The 16758-nt window shown below is 44.4% G+C and overlaps 1 pseudogene, besides 2 other annotated features; it reads left to right on the top strand.

Moving 5' to 3' along the window:
- Positions 7477 to 7976: an enhancer, noted in NCBI's record as "H3K4me1 hESC enhancer chr6:110886961-110887460 (GRCh37/hg19 assembly coordinates)". NCBI's record gives its function as "activates a minimal SCP1, AML or CMV promoter by ChIP-STARR-seq in primed H9 embryonic stem cells {active_cell/tissue: H9 hESC(primed)}" and the evidence as "EXISTENCE:reporter gene assay evidence [ECO:0000049][PMID:30033119]".
- Positions 7977 to 8478: an enhancer, noted in NCBI's record as "H3K4me1 hESC enhancer chr6:110886459-110886960 (GRCh37/hg19 assembly coordinates)". NCBI's record gives its function as "activates a minimal SCP1, AML or CMV promoter by ChIP-STARR-seq in primed H9 embryonic stem cells {active_cell/tissue: H9 hESC(primed)}" and the evidence as "EXISTENCE:reporter gene assay evidence [ECO:0000049][PMID:30033119]".
- On the top strand, positions 11091 to 11594 carry RPS19P5 (ribosomal protein S19 pseudogene 5; annotated as a pseudogene).

Below are 16758 nucleotides of genomic sequence, written 5' to 3'. Positions count from 1 at the left end.
TTAAACACAAGACTTAAAAACAAAAAAGCTGAGCAGAGACATTAGTGGCCATGTACTGCAGGAGGCAAAGATTCTGCAGATTACCTCTGGGAAAGCAAATAAAGACAATAATAACTGCCTCAGGAAAAGAAATCAGAGTCCAGAGTTGCTAGAGTATATTATCTAAAATGTCAAGTTTTCAAAAAACGTTATGAGACATGAAGAAACAAAATCTGACCCATACTCAGGAAAAAAAAGCAAATATATACTATGAGTGGTTCCAGAAATTAGATTATTGGACAAAGATTTCAAAGCAGCTATTATAAATATGTTCAAAGAACTAAAGAAAACCATGCTTAAGAATGACTAAATCAGTGTAATGACAATGATTCAACAAATAGATGATCTCACTTAAAATGCAGAAATTATTTTTTAAAAAAGAACCCAGTGGAAATTCTGAGTTGCAATAAATAATAGCAAAAATAAAAGTACTAGAGGAGGTCACAGAAGAGTCAGTGAAATTGAAGATAGATCATTAGAAATTACTCAGTGTGGAAAAAAGAGAGGAAAAGATAGAAGAAAAATACACAGTGCCTCAGAGACTGGTGGGATAACATGAAGCATACCAACATACATGTAATTGGAATCCCAGAAGGGGACTCCAGAAAAATGAAAGAAAAATGTTTAATGACATAATGGATGAAAATTCCCCAGTTTTGACTTTAAAAAATCATTTCACAAACTCCAGAAGCTCAAGAAACTCTAAGTAGAATAAATACAAAGACATTCACACCTGGACACATCATGGTCAAACCACTGGAAGCCAAACCAAAGACAAGAGAAAATCTTAAATCTAGTAAGAGAAAAACAAATCATCACATACAAGGGGACAATATGATTAATGGTCAACTTCTTGTCTTTAAACCACGGAGGCCAAAAGACAGTAGAATGATATATTCAAATTGCTGAAAGAAAAAGAAAAAAACTGGCTGGGGGTGGTGGCTCATGCCTGTAATCCCAGCACTTCGGGAGGCTGAGGCGGGTGGATCACTTGAGGTCGGGGGTTCGAGACCAGCCTGACCAACATGGAGAAACCCCATCTCTACTAAAAAATACAGAATTAGCAGGCATAGTGGCACATGGCTATAATCCCAGCTACTTGGGAGGCTGAGGCAGGGGAATTGCTTGAACCCAGGAGGCAGAAGTTGTGGTAAGCTGAGATCGTGCCATTGCACTTCAGCCTGGGCAACAAGAGTGAAACTCCATCTCAAAAAACAAAAAACAAAAAACTGTTGACCAAGAATTCAAAATCTAGAAAAACTAATCTTTAATAATGAAGGTAAAATATATTCCCAGATAAAGAAAGAATGAGATAATTTGTTGCTAACTGACCTGTTTACAAAAAATAAAGAAATAAAAAATGCAGGAAATGGTAAATATGTGGATAAATGTAAAGATATATAAACATTGATCTTTTCTTATCATGATTACTTTGAAAAACATAACATTCTGTAAAACTATAATTACAACTCAGTTTTAAACTTGTAATGCATATATGTGTAACATCTAAATACCAATCACATAAAGGAAGGTGGAAATAAAGTTATAGTGGAGAAAAGTTGTTATATTTTACTGGAACTAAGTCAGTATTAACTTGAAGTAGATTGTGACAAGGTAAGATGTATATATTCATCTGTCGAGCAACCATTACTAAAATAAAATTTTAAAATAGCTGCTAGGCATGGTGGCTTACATTTGTAATCCCAGCATTTTGGGAGGCCAAGGCAGGCAGATTGCTTGAGCTGGGGAATTCAAGGCTAGCCTAGGCAACGTGGTGGAACCCCATCTCTATAAAAAACACAAAAATTAGTCAGGCATGGTGGTGTCCATTTTTAGTCCCAGCTACTTGGGAGGCTGAGATGGGAAGATCAATTGAGCCCAGGAAGTTGAGTCTTCAATGAGCTGTGATCATGCCACTACACTCCAGCCTGGGCAACAGAGCAAAGCCCTGTTTCAATAAATAAATAAACAAAATAAAATAAAATAAATAAAAAGTAAATAAAAATGTTTGCTTAAAACCAGGAGTTCCAGACCAACCAACGTTTAGCACAGCTCATAAATACTGACCACCTATATCAAAAAAGAAAAAAATTACTAAAATATTACAAATCAGCTTTCACTTTAAGCAATTAAAAAAAGAAAACGAATGAAACTCTAAGTAAGCAGAAGGAAAGAAAGAATAAAAATTATAGTAGAAATCAGTAAAATAAAAACAGAAAAACAATACAGAAAATCAATTTAATTGAATGAAAAGTATGAAAATATTTTTAAAGGATAAACCTTTAGCTAGACTAAATAAGAAAAAAAAAAGAAAAGGCACAAATGATCAAAATCAATAATGATGAGGGCCATCACTACTAATTTAAAACAAATTAAAAGGATTTTAGGGGACGGTTATGAAAGACATGAATTACCAAAACTAACTCAAGAAGAAACAGAAATTCTGTATTCATCTATGACAAGTAAAGTAATTGAATTTGTAGCTAAAAACTTTCCGACAAAATAAACTCTAGGCCCAAATGTTTTCACTGGTAAATTCTATTAATATTTAAGGAAAAAATAATGCCAATTCTACAGTCTTTCCCAGAATATAAAAGCAGAAGAAACACATCTTGACTCAATTAATTAGGGCAATGATACCCTAACACCAAAACTACAAAAAGATATTACAAAAAAAAATCAAATTATAGGCCCAAATTCCTCATGAACATAGATGCAGAAATCCTTAACAAAATATTAACAAGTCAAATTCAGCAATATAAATAAAAAGATAATACATCACAACCTAGAGGGGTTTATCTTGGTAATCTAAATTATGAATAATTTGTCTCTGGATGATGAGATTATGGGGAGTCTTTTTCCTCCAAATTTTCAATAATGAACATGGTTTAGTTCTTTAATGATAATTTAAATATTGCAATTTAAAAGAAATACAATGAATTTTCTTCCAATATTTTCTGGAGTTCCAATATTTTCTGGAGAAATGTTTCTTCCAAATATTTCTTCCAATATTTTCCACAGTGAGTGGAAATGCTGATTTCGGTAAAAGAGAACACATTTCTCTCTCTCTCTCTCTCTTTTTTGTTTTGTTTTTGTTTTTGTTTTTGAGATGGAGTCTTGGTCTGTCACCCAGGCTGGAGTGCAGTGGTGCGATCTTGGCTCACTGCAACCTCCGCCTCCTGGGTTCAAGTGATTCTCCTGCCTCAGTCTCCCGAGTAGCTGGAACTACAGGCGTGCACCACCACGCCCAGCCAATTTTTGTATTTTTAGTAGAGATGGGCTTTCACCATGTTGGCCAGGATGGTCTTGATCTCTTGACCTCGTGATCCATAAGGAAAAGATGAAAGCATGAAATTAAAAACAGCAAATGTAGCAGGATGCCCCCTCATCTGTCCCATGACCAAGCAGGGGTCCAGCAGAGTCCTCAGTGACAAGCAGGGGCCTCTGAGGCCCCAATCACACAGAGGAACCACCTCCCCTGCATGACAGGGACATTTGCACAAGGACACAATCAGGTTTTGTCATTTGCAAGGTATGTTATAATAACTCCTTTTTCAAGGGCAAAGCAGTGAGGAAGTCATCAAAGTGGCCATGTTTGTAAATGGCATGGCATGTGCAGAAAAAAGAAATTTGTAAGTTTTTCTTCATTCTCTGTTCTTAGCTGGGACCTCGGACTTTATTCTAAATAGTTACTCTAGTACCAAAAGCTGAATGAGACTATTGTGCCACGGGGAAGGGTAATCTCCGCTGGCAGGAAACCAGAACTGGTCTACCTTCAAAATCACCAAGAGGGATATTTTATTTAATTTTCTATTCTATTTCCTATTTTATTTTGCAATTTGAAAAAGGAAATGATGGGTGATATAAACTGAGCAATTTATTTCCTTACCAATCTGCCATCTTTCCCAAAATTCTGGCTCAGAGCTCTGGTGACACAACTTCTTCCCCTGCTTCAGTCTGTAACAGAGTGGGCAGGTGTAGAGACTTAGTGTTGGGACAGCTGAGGCAGAACTCACTGAGCTGATGCTGGTGAGAACCCGCAGTCACAGGCTTGGGTATCCCTGGGCCTGAGCAATGTGGGATCCCTCCCTCCCTGGGCCCTATGTGCCTCCTCACGTACTTGACGATGCCCCAAATTCCTTTAACAAAAAGTATTTACTTACATTAGAGACAGAAAGTCTAAAATGCTAACTGCAGGAGAGGAGAACCATAGGCTGGGGTTCAAACTAAAATGCAGCGATTGATACAGAGCCAGTTCAGGGAGCAGCCTGCTGAGAGTTCTAGGTGTCTGAACGGAGGCCTCCTGCCTACACGATTCTGCCTGTGTTTGGATGCCATCTTTCATCAGACCTAAAACCCATGTCTATATTTCTGCCAAAGAACAGGTTAAGGTTCCTGGGGACTCTGGGCAGTATAAGCAATTCTATGAGGTGATATGGCTGACTTCATACACAAGGTACCACACTGCAGGGCCCCTTCAGCACCACAAGAGTAGTGAGCTTCCCACTTATAAGTGAGAAGGTGTCAGGCCTGATTCAGCAGGAGGAACAATAACGTGAAGGATGTCCCTCGGACAAAAGTCAGAATGAGGCCAGGTGTGGTTGATTCACAGCTATAATCCCAGCACTTTACGAGGCTGAGGCAAGAGGATTGCTTGAGCTCAGGAGTTCCAGACCAGCCTGGCCAACATATTGAGACCTTGTCTCTACCAAAAAACAAAATTAGGCCGGGTGCAGTGGCTCACGCCTGTCATCCCAGCACTTTGGGAGGCTGAGGCGAGAGGACTGCTTGAGCCCAGGAGTTTGAGACCAGCCTGGCCAACATAGTGAGGCCCAGTCTCTATAAAAAATTAAAAAAATTGTCCAGGCGTGTTGATGCACACCTATAGTCCTAGTTACTTGGGAGGCTAAGAGGGGAGGATCACTTGAGCCCAATAGGTCAAGGCTGCAGTTAGCTGTGATCATGCCACTGTACTCCAACCTAGGTGACAGAGTGAAATGACAGAGCAAGACCCTGTCTTTAAAAAATAAAAATAAAATAAAAAGTCAGAGAGGTGAGAAGCACTGGGCGGGAGGAAGCAGGCAGGGAGACTGAGAGCTGCCCTGGGACAGCAGATGACAAGGTGACAAGGTGCCCGCAAGGAGGATGTGGAAGCTGCTGAGGGCAGGGCCTGGAGTCACTAGTGTGCCTGTGTGTCAGCAGTTTCCCTGAGCCCAGCTGTGGTGGTGGAGAAGGCCCTGACTCCCTTGAGGCTGCCTGACTTCCTTCTGGCCTCTCTTTGCAAGTCCTAAATATCACTCCCCACCCCTTGTCACCTCAGAATCTCTTCAGCTAGGGTTTTGCCATGGCCAGGACACACATGAAGAAACTGAGATGGCTTAAAGGTCAAGTCTTCCGATTCCAGCACCTGTGTCCTTGTTCACAGAGCCAAGACTGGTCTTCCTGCTTCTTCACTCTGCTTCCGTGTCCTTGGTCTTGCATATGTTTCTGTCTTCTGGGCTCTGCAAGCGCATGTTGCTTTATTTGCCACCTGAGCCTCACTCTTCAGGCAGCTGTCTAAATTCAATTGTCTAAAGGCAATGAATCATGCAGCAGTTAAGAAGATAGGCTCTGGTGCTAGGCGTTTATTAGCTGTGCAATCATGGGCAAGTTACTTACGCACCTTCTGCCTTAGTTTCCTTCTATGTGAAAGGGATAATAATACCACCTGTTTTCATAAGCTTGTAATAATAGAAAGAGTAAATATTTATAAACAATTTTTTGAGACATGGTTTCACTCTGTTGCCCAGGCTGGAGTGCAGTTGTGTGATCACAGTTCACTGCAGCCTTGACCTCCTGGGCTCAGGAGATCCTCCCACCTCAGCCTCCCAGGTGGCTGGGACTACAGGTGTGCACCACTGCACCCAGCTAATTTTTTGAGCTTTTTGTAGAGACAGGGTTTTGCCATGTTTCCCAGGCTGGTCTCCAAATCCTGGGCTCAAGTGCCTCCCAAAGTGCTAGGATTGCAGGCATGAGCCACCGCGCCCGGCCCATATAAACAATTGAATAATGACTGGCATATGGCATAAGGCTTGGCTCTTGTGCATTTATTTATTTATTCAGCACATGTGTACTGAACACCCACTTGCTATGTGCTGCATCAAGTGATGGAGATGCAATGGTGAATACAAAGAAGCCCTCAGGAAGCTTCTAGTCTAAATGAGGGACATTTAGACTTTAATCAATAATTGTACTGTAAATAACGGTACACAGTGCTTTAAGAAGAGGTGCTGTTATAGGACCACCAGGTTCAACTGCACATTGGACAGTAACAGACCAATACACAGAAATGGTGGGAGTTGTAGCAGAGAAACAGTGTAGTAATCATATGGCAGCCAAACAAGGGGGTGGGAGGGAACCTCAAATCTGCCTCCCTAAGGAGTTTTAGACTGGACTTTTTAAGTGAATTTTGGTGGGTAGGGGGCTGAGGAGCTAGGGATTGCTGATTGGTCGAGAAGTGATGCGTGCAGTTATGGGACAAGGAGATGAAGGAATCACATTTCTGTGCTGGATTGGCACCTTGGGGCTGGGGTTCTGCAGACTCGTTGACATCAGGCATTCTGCTGGAATGCAGGATCTGAAAAATACCTTAAGCAATTTTTTAGTAAAAAGGTCCAGTGTCACAGATTCTCTCTATAGGAACAATGAGGGAGCAGGTGGTCCGTGTGCTACGTGACTCTCGGTTAGCGAGCAACTGCAGGGAAGTGGGTCAAAGTGCACCAGCACACCCTGGTCAGTGCCTAGCTATAACTCTGCCTAGAGCCTGGCTTGACATTCTCGTTAACCCTGTGAGAGTGCTTTCAGTGCGGTGCTGAGAGAGTGTAATATTAATAGATCTCACCCAGGGTGGGGTGAAATGTCTGAGGCCAGACATTCATTTCCCATCTTCTCACCTGGCATTTTGAGATAATCACTGGCTACTCTTTGGACTCTGGTCCCTGAAAAGGAGCCAGTTTGCTTCCTGAACTAAACCAGTGCCCTGAGATGGAAGCAGGATATTATATAAACCACCACCACAAACAGCATACCAGGAAAACACAACTCAGATCTTCCTGGCTCTTCCACTAGCTGTGAGACATGGGGCAAGGCTCCAGATTCAGCTGGGCCTTTATTAACCAGCCCTGGAGTTAAATCATCAACCCAGAGGTCTGTCCTAGCCCTGGAGCCCAAGGAGACCCCTGATTATGCAGCAAGCAGGGTGAGTGTTCATGGATATGTCCTTCCCAGTTACAGAGAGTATTTCAGAGTCAGCAAAGCTCAAAATGCCAAACCACACCAGAAGTGACAAGGACAATTTAAAAATCCAGTGAGCGCATTAGATAATTAAAACTATTCAGACTCTCAACTTTAAGGATTCTTTTTTTTCTTTTTTTTAGATAAGATTTTGCACTGTGGCCCACCCTGCAGTGCAGTGGCACGATCACTGCTCACTGCAGCCTTGCCCTCCCAGACTCAAGTGATCCTCCCACCTCAGCCCCCTGAGTAGCTGGGACTACAGGTGCATGCCACCATGCCTGGCTAATTTTTTATTTTTTTACTTTTCGTAGAGGCAGGATCTCACTATATTGCTCAGGCTGGTCTCCAACTCCTAGACTCAAGCGATCCTCCTGCCTCAAACTCCCAAAGTGTTGGGATTACAGGCTGGAGCCACCACACCCAGCGGGGATATTTTTAAGGCAGAAAAAATGACAAATATGTGACCAGTGGGCAGGGATTTGTTAATTCTTTTAACCCAAGTCGGGGCTACTGTCCAGGCGATACGCCAAACCTGGGCTGGCTTCCGCCCCAAAGTGGACTTTGATGCCTCACCACTCAACGTGCTGGCCTTTGGGCCAGCAACATCACCATCTCCCGGGAGCTTGTTAGAAATGCAGAACCTCGGCTGGGTGGGGTGGCTCATGCCTGTAAACCCAGCACTTTGGGAGGCCAAGGTGGGTGGATCACCTGAGGTCAGGCGTTCGAGGCCAGCCTGGCTAACATGGTGAAACCCCGTCTCTACTAAAATTACAAAAATTAGTCGGGCGTGGTGGTGGTGGGGGTGCTTGTAATTCCAGCTAATCGGGAGGCTGAGGCTGGAGAATTGCTTGAACCCAGGAGGCGGAGGTTGCAGTGAGCCGAGATCACGCCATTGCACTCCAGCCTGGATGACAGAGCGAGACTCTGTCTCAAGAAAAAAAAACAAAAAAAAGAAATGCAGAATCTCAGGCTCTCCCTCAGACCTACCGCATTAGACTCTGCATGTGAACAAGCTCCCCTGGTGAGTGGCGTGTGCATCAGTGTTTGAGAAGCACTGGCCTGAAGGGTGTTGGGAGGCTGCCCACCTGTTTCAGGTGTGCTTTAAATATGGCACCTGTATCTGCATTGTACCAACTCAAAGGACCCAAAAAGTCATCTCCCTCTGAGTCTTCCGTTAACATAAATATCCTAAACTGGGGGTGGAAGGTGGGTGTCTGAATATTCCTGGTTTAGCAGTATGAGAATTCTTCAGCAATGAAGAAAATCTAATTTGCATTCCTAAATGGCACAAAGCCTGTTTCCTTTATGGCTTTGTCTTTGTTTCATCAAATTTGCCCTCTGTGGTCCATATCTGAGACCAGTCAGCTCTGTACACCAACCGAGTTAAGGCCTGCCTCGCTCCTCCAGCCAACCAGCAAGTGTGGGTGCCACGCTGGGTGCCAGGGGGTGGAGATGGATAGCATATGATCCCTAACCTTGAGGGTGCCTTTGTTTTGCTTTGAGTTTTGGAATTTCATAGACTTGGAACTCAGAGTCAAGTTCAGCTAAAACAGCTGAACGTCCCCAAGCTTCCTGCAGAAACTCCCAAACCATGAACTTTGCCCATGGTTCTGAGTCAAAGCCATAATCTAGCCAAGTCTCACCTTCATCTGAATCAAAGAGCATGTCTGAAGTGATAGTTTTAACTTCCTATTCTGATGGTAGGGAGGATGGTAGGAAGGATGGGGGGGGGTGAGTTCTTTGTCCTTGTGGATTTCTGATTTTTTTTAAAAAAAATTATTTTTGTTTTTTGTAGAGACGGGGTCTCCCTATGTTGCCCAGGCTAGTCTTGAACTCTAAGGCTCAAGTGATCCTCCTACCTTGGCATCCCAAAGCGCTGGGATTACAGGCACCAGCCACTGCACCTGGCCTGTTGTTGTTGTTTTTTATTTTTGTTTGTTTGTTTGTTTGTTTTTGAGACAGTGTCTTGTGCTATCACCCAGGCTGGAGTGCAGTGGTGCAATCATGGCTCACTGCAGCCTTGACCTCCTGGGCTCAAGTAATCCTCCCGTCTCAGCCTCCCAAGAAGCTAGGACTACAGGCAAGCACCATCATGCTCGGCTACATTTTTATTTCTGTTTGTTTGTTTATTTATTTATTCTTCATAGAGATGGGGTCTCCTTATGTTGCCCAGGCTGGTTTCAAACTCCTGGACTCAAGTGATCCTCTTGCCTTGGCCTCCCAAAGTGCTGACATTATAGGCTTGAGCCAATGTACTTGGCTGAATTTTTGATTCTTAATCTTGGCTGTACCCAGGAATCTAAAAATGTTTATGCCTAAACTGCAACCCAGGTCAGTGCAAGAACATTTGCATAACAAAGAAGTTAACCGTTCTAAGTGCTTTTCATTTTGCTGAATCTCCACAACCCTATGGAGTAGGTACTCTCATTACCTTCATGTTTGGATAAGGATTATGGGGCTCTGGGGAGTTAAGTGACTGATTGAAGGTCCCTCAGTCTGTGAGGGGTAGAGCCAGGTGGTCTGTCAGTTTCTGCACTAGACTATTATGCTAAAGTGCTTCAAATTGGCCCCCAAGTGCACTTACACATCTCCCCAGGTGTCCATAGAGCGTTAAGCACCTCTGCTATAGACTCAGCAGGAGCCTGACCTGCTCTTGACTCCAGTCTCATAGAATCTATGCTCCCCCAGGTAAGAGGTGGCTGCCAGGCCTGGGGTGGGGGTGACACCTCAATTGTTCAGCCTCAAATCAGAGCAATGCCCCTGGTTTTGTTCCTGCTGTCTAGCTTCAGGTGCTCACATCTCAGTGATGGCAAATCACTCCAAATTCATTTTGCCCCAGCCCCGATCTCTTTTCCCACCTTCTTTTCCTCTCCATCTTCTTTCGATCTCACTCCCTACCTTTAATCTCATCGATCTAAATAGGTTCACAGCACTGTTTATTGCCCACTGGTTTGGGTTATAAATCCACCCAATTTATAACCCAGGGAGGCTGAGGCTGGAGAATTGCTTGAACCCAGGAGGCGGAGGTTGCAGTGAATTCTGCAACCTCCACCTGCTGGGTTCTTCCACCAGGCTTTCAAGGCCCTCTACATCTTCAGCTGGCCCAGGCTTTGTTTCCCTAAACCGACCTCTGCTCTCAGCCCCTCTGCTTGTCTGGGCCCTACCCTTCTTCCCTTGCCTGTGCTGGACTGACCCAGGCCCCAGCTTCTCCCTGCTCCCCACCTCTGGCCAACATGGAGCTCTCCAACCTCTCACTTAACACTTTCTGTCAACCCCACAAGCCTTTGATTAACTATTCTGCACTGTCTTCTGATTGTTTCAGAGACATTAGTCTATCTTACCAACAACACCAAGGACAGGGACTATAATAACTAGTTCTTGTGTTTTCCCTGCAGCATGAAACACTAAGCTAAACATATCAAAAATTTGCAATAAATGCTTGCGGAATTAGATTTATGGACAGACTTAGAAACCAGGCTGATTTAACCTTTTTCCTGGAGGTGATTGAGAAATATGGGGTGGGGGATGGTCTTTGAGGGGGTTGGGATGGTGTCACAGTTGAATACTGGGCAGGCTAGATGCTGTAGTTGAGTACTGGGCAGGCTAGATGCTGGACAGGACACAGGAGACAAGGAAGTCTGGATTGCAGGGTGCAGTGAGATCGATGTGTAAGGGCTATCTGTTGTGTATTGGTTATCTAGTGCTGTGTAACAAACAACCTCCAACCTTAGTGGCTTAAAATAACAAGTGTTCTTTTGAGAATTTGAGAACAGCTGTTCCCCTGGCTGGCAGCGCAGAGGTGTCATGATTCCTGGAGTTACTGTAGAAGACATGAATCAGCAGGAGTTCATCAGAGCTCTGGTAGCCCTCCTCAAAAAGTCCAGGAAGCTGAAAGTCCCTGAATGGGTGGATACCACCAAACTGGCCAAGCGCAAAGAGCTTACTCTCTGAGATGAGAAGTGGTTCTACACATGAGCTGCTTCCACAACATAGCACCTATACCACCAAGGTGGCGCTGGGGTTGGCTCCATGACCAAGATCTATGGGGAATGTCAGATAAATGGTGTCCTGCCCAGCCACGTCAGCCGAGTCTCCAAGAGTGTGGCCCACTGGGTCCTCCAAGCCCTGGAGGGGCTGAAAATGGTGGAAAAGGACCAAGATAGGGGCCATAAACTGACACCTCAGGGTCAGAAAGATCTGGACAGAATCACTGGATAGGTGGCAGCTGCCAACAAGAAGCATTAAAACAAATGATCCTGGGTTAATAAATTGCTTCATTCATTAAAGAAAAAAAGAGAATTTGAGAGCAGCTTAGTTGGATGGTTCTGAATCAGGGAATCTCATGAGGTTGTAATCATGATTGTCAGTTGGGGCTTCAGTTATCTGAAGCCTTGACTGGGGCTGCAGAATCTGCTTCCAAGCTCACTCATGTGCATGGCTGTTGGCAGGAGGCCTCAGTTCCTTGCCATGTGGTTGTTTATAACACAGCAGCTCACTTCCCCCAGAGCAAGCAACCTGAGAGAGAGAGACAGAGAGGGCAGGGCAGGGGAGCATGAAGTCTCTGATGACTTAGCCTTGGGAGTGACAACCATCACTTCTACTGTGTTCTATTGGCCACACAGACCAACCCTGAGTCTATGTGGAAAGAGACTACTCAAGGGCATGGACACCAAGAAGGAAGTTCATTAGGGGCTATCTTGGAGGCTGTTTCCACCAGGAAACATAAGACCCTGGCTCAAACCCACTTGAGGGATGGAAAAGGAGGGGAAAGAGTCTCAAAGGACTCCAGCCTGGAGCCTGGAAATTGAGGGGTCTCCTTTTCAAAAAGGCCTTTCTTGACTACTCTGGCCAAACACTGCCCACCACCCTCACATCACTCTCAGGTTATCCCATATACATTCTTTGCACTTTTCACTCTGAAATTGCCTTTCTTGCAGATTTGTTGTATCTTTCCCATTAGGAAATAAACTCCTTATGAGCTGGGAGCCTGCCTTGTTCATGCTGTGTTCCCAGTACCTAGTATGGTGCATGACATGTAGTGGGTATCAATACATATATATCTAATGAACACATGAATGACACCTGGGGGAAGGGACACGACCCTTTGCCTAGGGGTGGGAGTTTGCACTTTGCACAGGGATGGGGCGAGTGGGGCTGAAATCCAGCTGGCGCCCTGCACTGAAGTCTTGTCCTGGGACAAAGCCTTCCTCCACTGAATACCCGAGTCCTCTCAGCTGGGTCTGCCTCAATCCTACAAAAGGGCCATATGTGCTAGCAGAGGTAGGGGGATCCTGCCAAAATGTTGGGGTGGAGGCTGCAGTCCATAGTGCTATCCCAGAGATCTTTTTATTCTTATTTTTTATTTTCGGAGACAGGGTCTTGCTCTGTCACCCAGGCTAGAGTGCAGTGGAGTGATCATAGCTTGCTGCAACCTTGAACTCCTGGGCTCAAGAGATCCTCCTGCCTTAGCCTCCCCAGTGGCTGCGACTATAGGCGCATTGCACCGCACCTGGCTCAGAGATCTTTCTGAAGCTCACTCTACTTTTCCTGTGGTTCTAGCCCTTTCCTTCCTGTTTGAGGCTCCCTTAGGGTATAAAAGTCACTCTGCAGCGTCTCCTCTAGAGTAAATAAACAATTCTCTTGAGGTCCTTTTCTGCCCCAACCATTTCACCTTCTCTGTGTCTTTATGAGCTTGACTTAACAGGAAGTTCACCTTCTGGCTTCTGTTAAATAGTATTGTCTGGACTGACAGCCTCCGCTTTGCTGAGTGTAGAACCCAGAGGAAGAAGTGGACACTCTAGTTTGAGTTTGGCCATTAAAACAGAAGGAACATTGATCAACACAGGACCTACTTCATTTCATAGCAGCTACACACAGTCGTGACAATTGCTTACCTTTCTATGGTGGTTTATGGTTGTAAACAGCTTTTCCATACTTCAATTCTCAACAGGAAACTGTCATTACCACTAGCTAAAAAGCATTTACTGAGCACCTGTTGCATGCAGAAGGTGCTGTGATAGGGAATATAGTTATGACAAGAGAGATGATAAGTTATTTATCTCCCAAATTTATTGTTAGGTAAGAAATGTGAGGAGCAGAACACTGGGTATGGTAAATTTCTATTTGCATAAAAAAAGTATTATACAAGGAAACATGCTCTCACCTGGCCAACAGAAAGGTGGCTGTTTCTTGAGAGGCCTCACAGGATAGTATTACTGGTGAAACAACCACAGCGCAGGGGCTGGCCTTCATTAAAAATAAAAAATAGATGTATATATATTTTTATATGGCTTGGTATCTTCGGGAGAATACACAAGAACCTGACTACTTTGGTTACCTTTGGGTGGCTGGGATGAAAAGTAAACTTACTTTTCATTGTATTCTTTTGTACCTTTTGAATTTTGTACCACACACGCATATGAAAACATAATAATGTGTAATTAAAGGAAATGATGAGATTTAAAAATAGAGCATTGTTAAAAGCCACATAATCTGTAAAGTAGAATATGTAATGTAGATATTTTTGTCTCTAAAAATGTTGTGGGCTGGGCACGGTGGCTCATGCCTGTAATCCCAGCACTTTGGGAGGCCGAGGTGGGCGGATCACGAAGTCAGGAGTTTGAGAACAGCCTGTCCAACATGGTGAAACCCTATCTCTACTAAAAATACAAAAATTAGCCAGGTGTGGTGGCGAGTGCCTGTAGTCCCAGCTACTCGGGAGGCTGAGGCAGGAGAATTGCTTGAACCCAGGGGGACAGAGGTTGCAGTGAGGTAAGATTGCACCACTGCACTCCAGCTCTGGGTGACAGAGCAAGACTCTGTCTCAGAAAGAAAAAAAATTGTTGTGGTTTGTGTCTTTTAGTAACTTTACTGGAGTGATTAACCAAAGCAAAACATGTAGGTATTTGCTTCCTCTCTGTCTGGGCCTCTGCCTTGGCCACTTGGGCTTCCTAACAGCATGGCAGCTGGGTTCCAAGAGTAAGTGTTCCAAGAGGCCTGGAAAGGAAGCTGCAGGGTTTCCCGTGATCTAGTTTCAGAAGACCTATGCGGTCATGCGCACCACATTTTATTAGTCAAGTAAGTCACTAAGGCCAGCCCAGATTTAAGAGAAGGCAAATTAGGTGCACCTTTCAGTATGAAAAGTTCCAAAGAGTTTGTGTCCATCCCTAATCCGCCACACACAGAAGCAAAAGCAAGCATGCAAACAAACAAAACAGAGGACTAACACAGTGTTGCCAGGTTTTATTTTGAAAAATAGAAATATTAAAAAGCAACACCAAAAAATGTTGTCATCCACTACCACATTGTCACATCTGTTTCTTAAAAGTACTTTTCTTCCACCAAAAAAAGTAGAAAGGACATAGTTCCAGAACAAATGGCAGTTCTTTAAATAGAACAAATTTAGCTTAATGAAAAACTTGCTATGCTGTACTTATTTTTTCTCATTTCAGACCAGGTAGAAAACTAGGTCATGGAGAAATTGTCCATTGGCAAACCACCAGGTGCAAGGCATGAGCACCTCCGCAGTGCCGAGCAGCAGTCCTCTACTGCTGGTTTGCATCCAGGCTCTCCATGAAACCTGTGTTCTGTTGGCTTCTGGGATTTACCTCCCTACTCAGCTCCCAGTTCCCAGGGAGGTGCCAATGGGCTCGTAGGAAGAAAGATCTGCCTGCTGTCTAGGGTTTCCATGGCATCACACTGATGGGGATTTTTTTCTGACATCGTCAGGCTTTCTGGCCCAGGTCGGGCTTCTTACACTGTGGCTTCTGCTCTGTGGGCTGGGCTATTCTGGCTCTGCAGGTCTGGACAAGAATTAGTGACCATGGGCCTGACACAATGGGAAGCCTGCCCAAGACCACCACCATCACCCCCTCTGAGCATATCAGAATCACTGGGGGAAGCTTTTCAGCACCAGCCTCCACTCTCCTTGAATTCCTGGCACCTCTTCAGTGTGGAGCCTAACAGGTCCCACAGTGGGAATGTCGTACTAGATTAACAAGCAACCTTTACTTGGTCCTCTGGGACCAAGTGTCTGGAGACCTCTAAGCCAAGCCAATACTGTATTTCTATGCATCGCCCAGCGTAGCTGACTGAAGTTTTACCGGTGGAAGGGAATTGCCTGCTGACAATCAGCTACTCAGATGGCTGAGGATTAATTTTCTAAGTGTGTCTGACCTAGAAACATGTCAGAGGTCGGGAGCAGGAGTGGGTCCAAGCCGGGGAGACTCATACCCTCTGGGTCACATCCTCTCTGCAAAGCCTCAGCATCTTGGGGAAGCAGAGTCCTACTCCACTTTCCCTAAACATTTCCAAAATTCTTTTAAAATTTATTTATTTATTTATTTATTTTGAGATGGCGTCTCGCTCCATCACTGAGGCTAGAGTGCAGTGGCACAATCTTGGCTCACTGCAACCTCCGCCTTCCGGGTTCAAATGATTCTCCTGCCTCAGCCTCCCGGGTAGCTGGGATTACAGGCATGTACCACAACACTCAGATAATTTCTGTATTTTTAGTAGAGACGGGGTTTCACTATGTTGGCCAGGCTGGTCTCAAACTCCTGATCTCAAGAGATCCACCCACCTTGGCCTCCCAAAGTGCTGGGATTACAGGTGTGAGCCACTGTGCCCAGCCCATTTCTTAAATTCTTGATGCAGAGGGAGGAACTAGTGTCTACTGCTCACCCTACAACTTTTAGGTAAATAGTTGTCTCTTAGAGAAAGGACCTCAAAATGGACTTTTGTTTATTAAAGGTATAATTGGATAAAAGGGCCAACTAGAAACAAGAGTTATGCATCTAGAAACCAGAGTCATGTATCTATTCACTCCAGGGGTGACAGCAGATCTCTTGGGTGTTTCCCCAACAGCCCTGATATCAGACATCAGGAAGCAGGACAGGGTCACCTTCCCCATTTAGCGATGCCTCTAAGAAGCAGGTCGGCCCAAGCATGGGCAGGCATAAAGCCCTAGATTTGCAGTGAGCACAAAGAGTCAATTCAACAGCCCACAGAGCTCATCCTCTGTAACAGTCCTAATTAGAAACATTATACATAAGGAGAGGAAACAATTTACACAGACTCCAGCATGAGCTCATGGCAATAGCTTGTTTTCCAGCTCCAGCCCCGAGGCCATAGACACACACCTCTGAAAAAATAATGCATAGGTATTTCCAAGACTGATATTTTCAGATACTGCAGAAAAACGTGGCGGTTAATGATGTGCTGTAGCAAAACCGTCTCCATTGTGACTCCGTCTCTCCTTCCCCTTTTACCACCCCTGTTGTCTGTCTTGGTGTTAGGATTTTGTTAGTAGCTTAATATTTCAAAAAATAATTTACAACATGTTCCTTCTTTTCTGTTCTCACATAAACTTGAGATTTAAACATTTTTTCCATCTGCTTTTTGTTCCTTTCCACTGGGCAGCCCCTAGTGATGTTTCCTATGCTT

This window comes from Homo sapiens, chromosome 6, assembly GCF_000001405.40.
Source record: "Homo sapiens chromosome 6, GRCh38.p14 Primary Assembly".
Taxonomy (NCBI): Eukaryota; Metazoa; Chordata; class Mammalia; order Primates; family Hominidae; genus Homo; species Homo sapiens.
The sequence above is the reverse complement of the archived record's forward strand: the minus strand, read 5'-3'. Positions and strand labels throughout refer to the sequence as shown.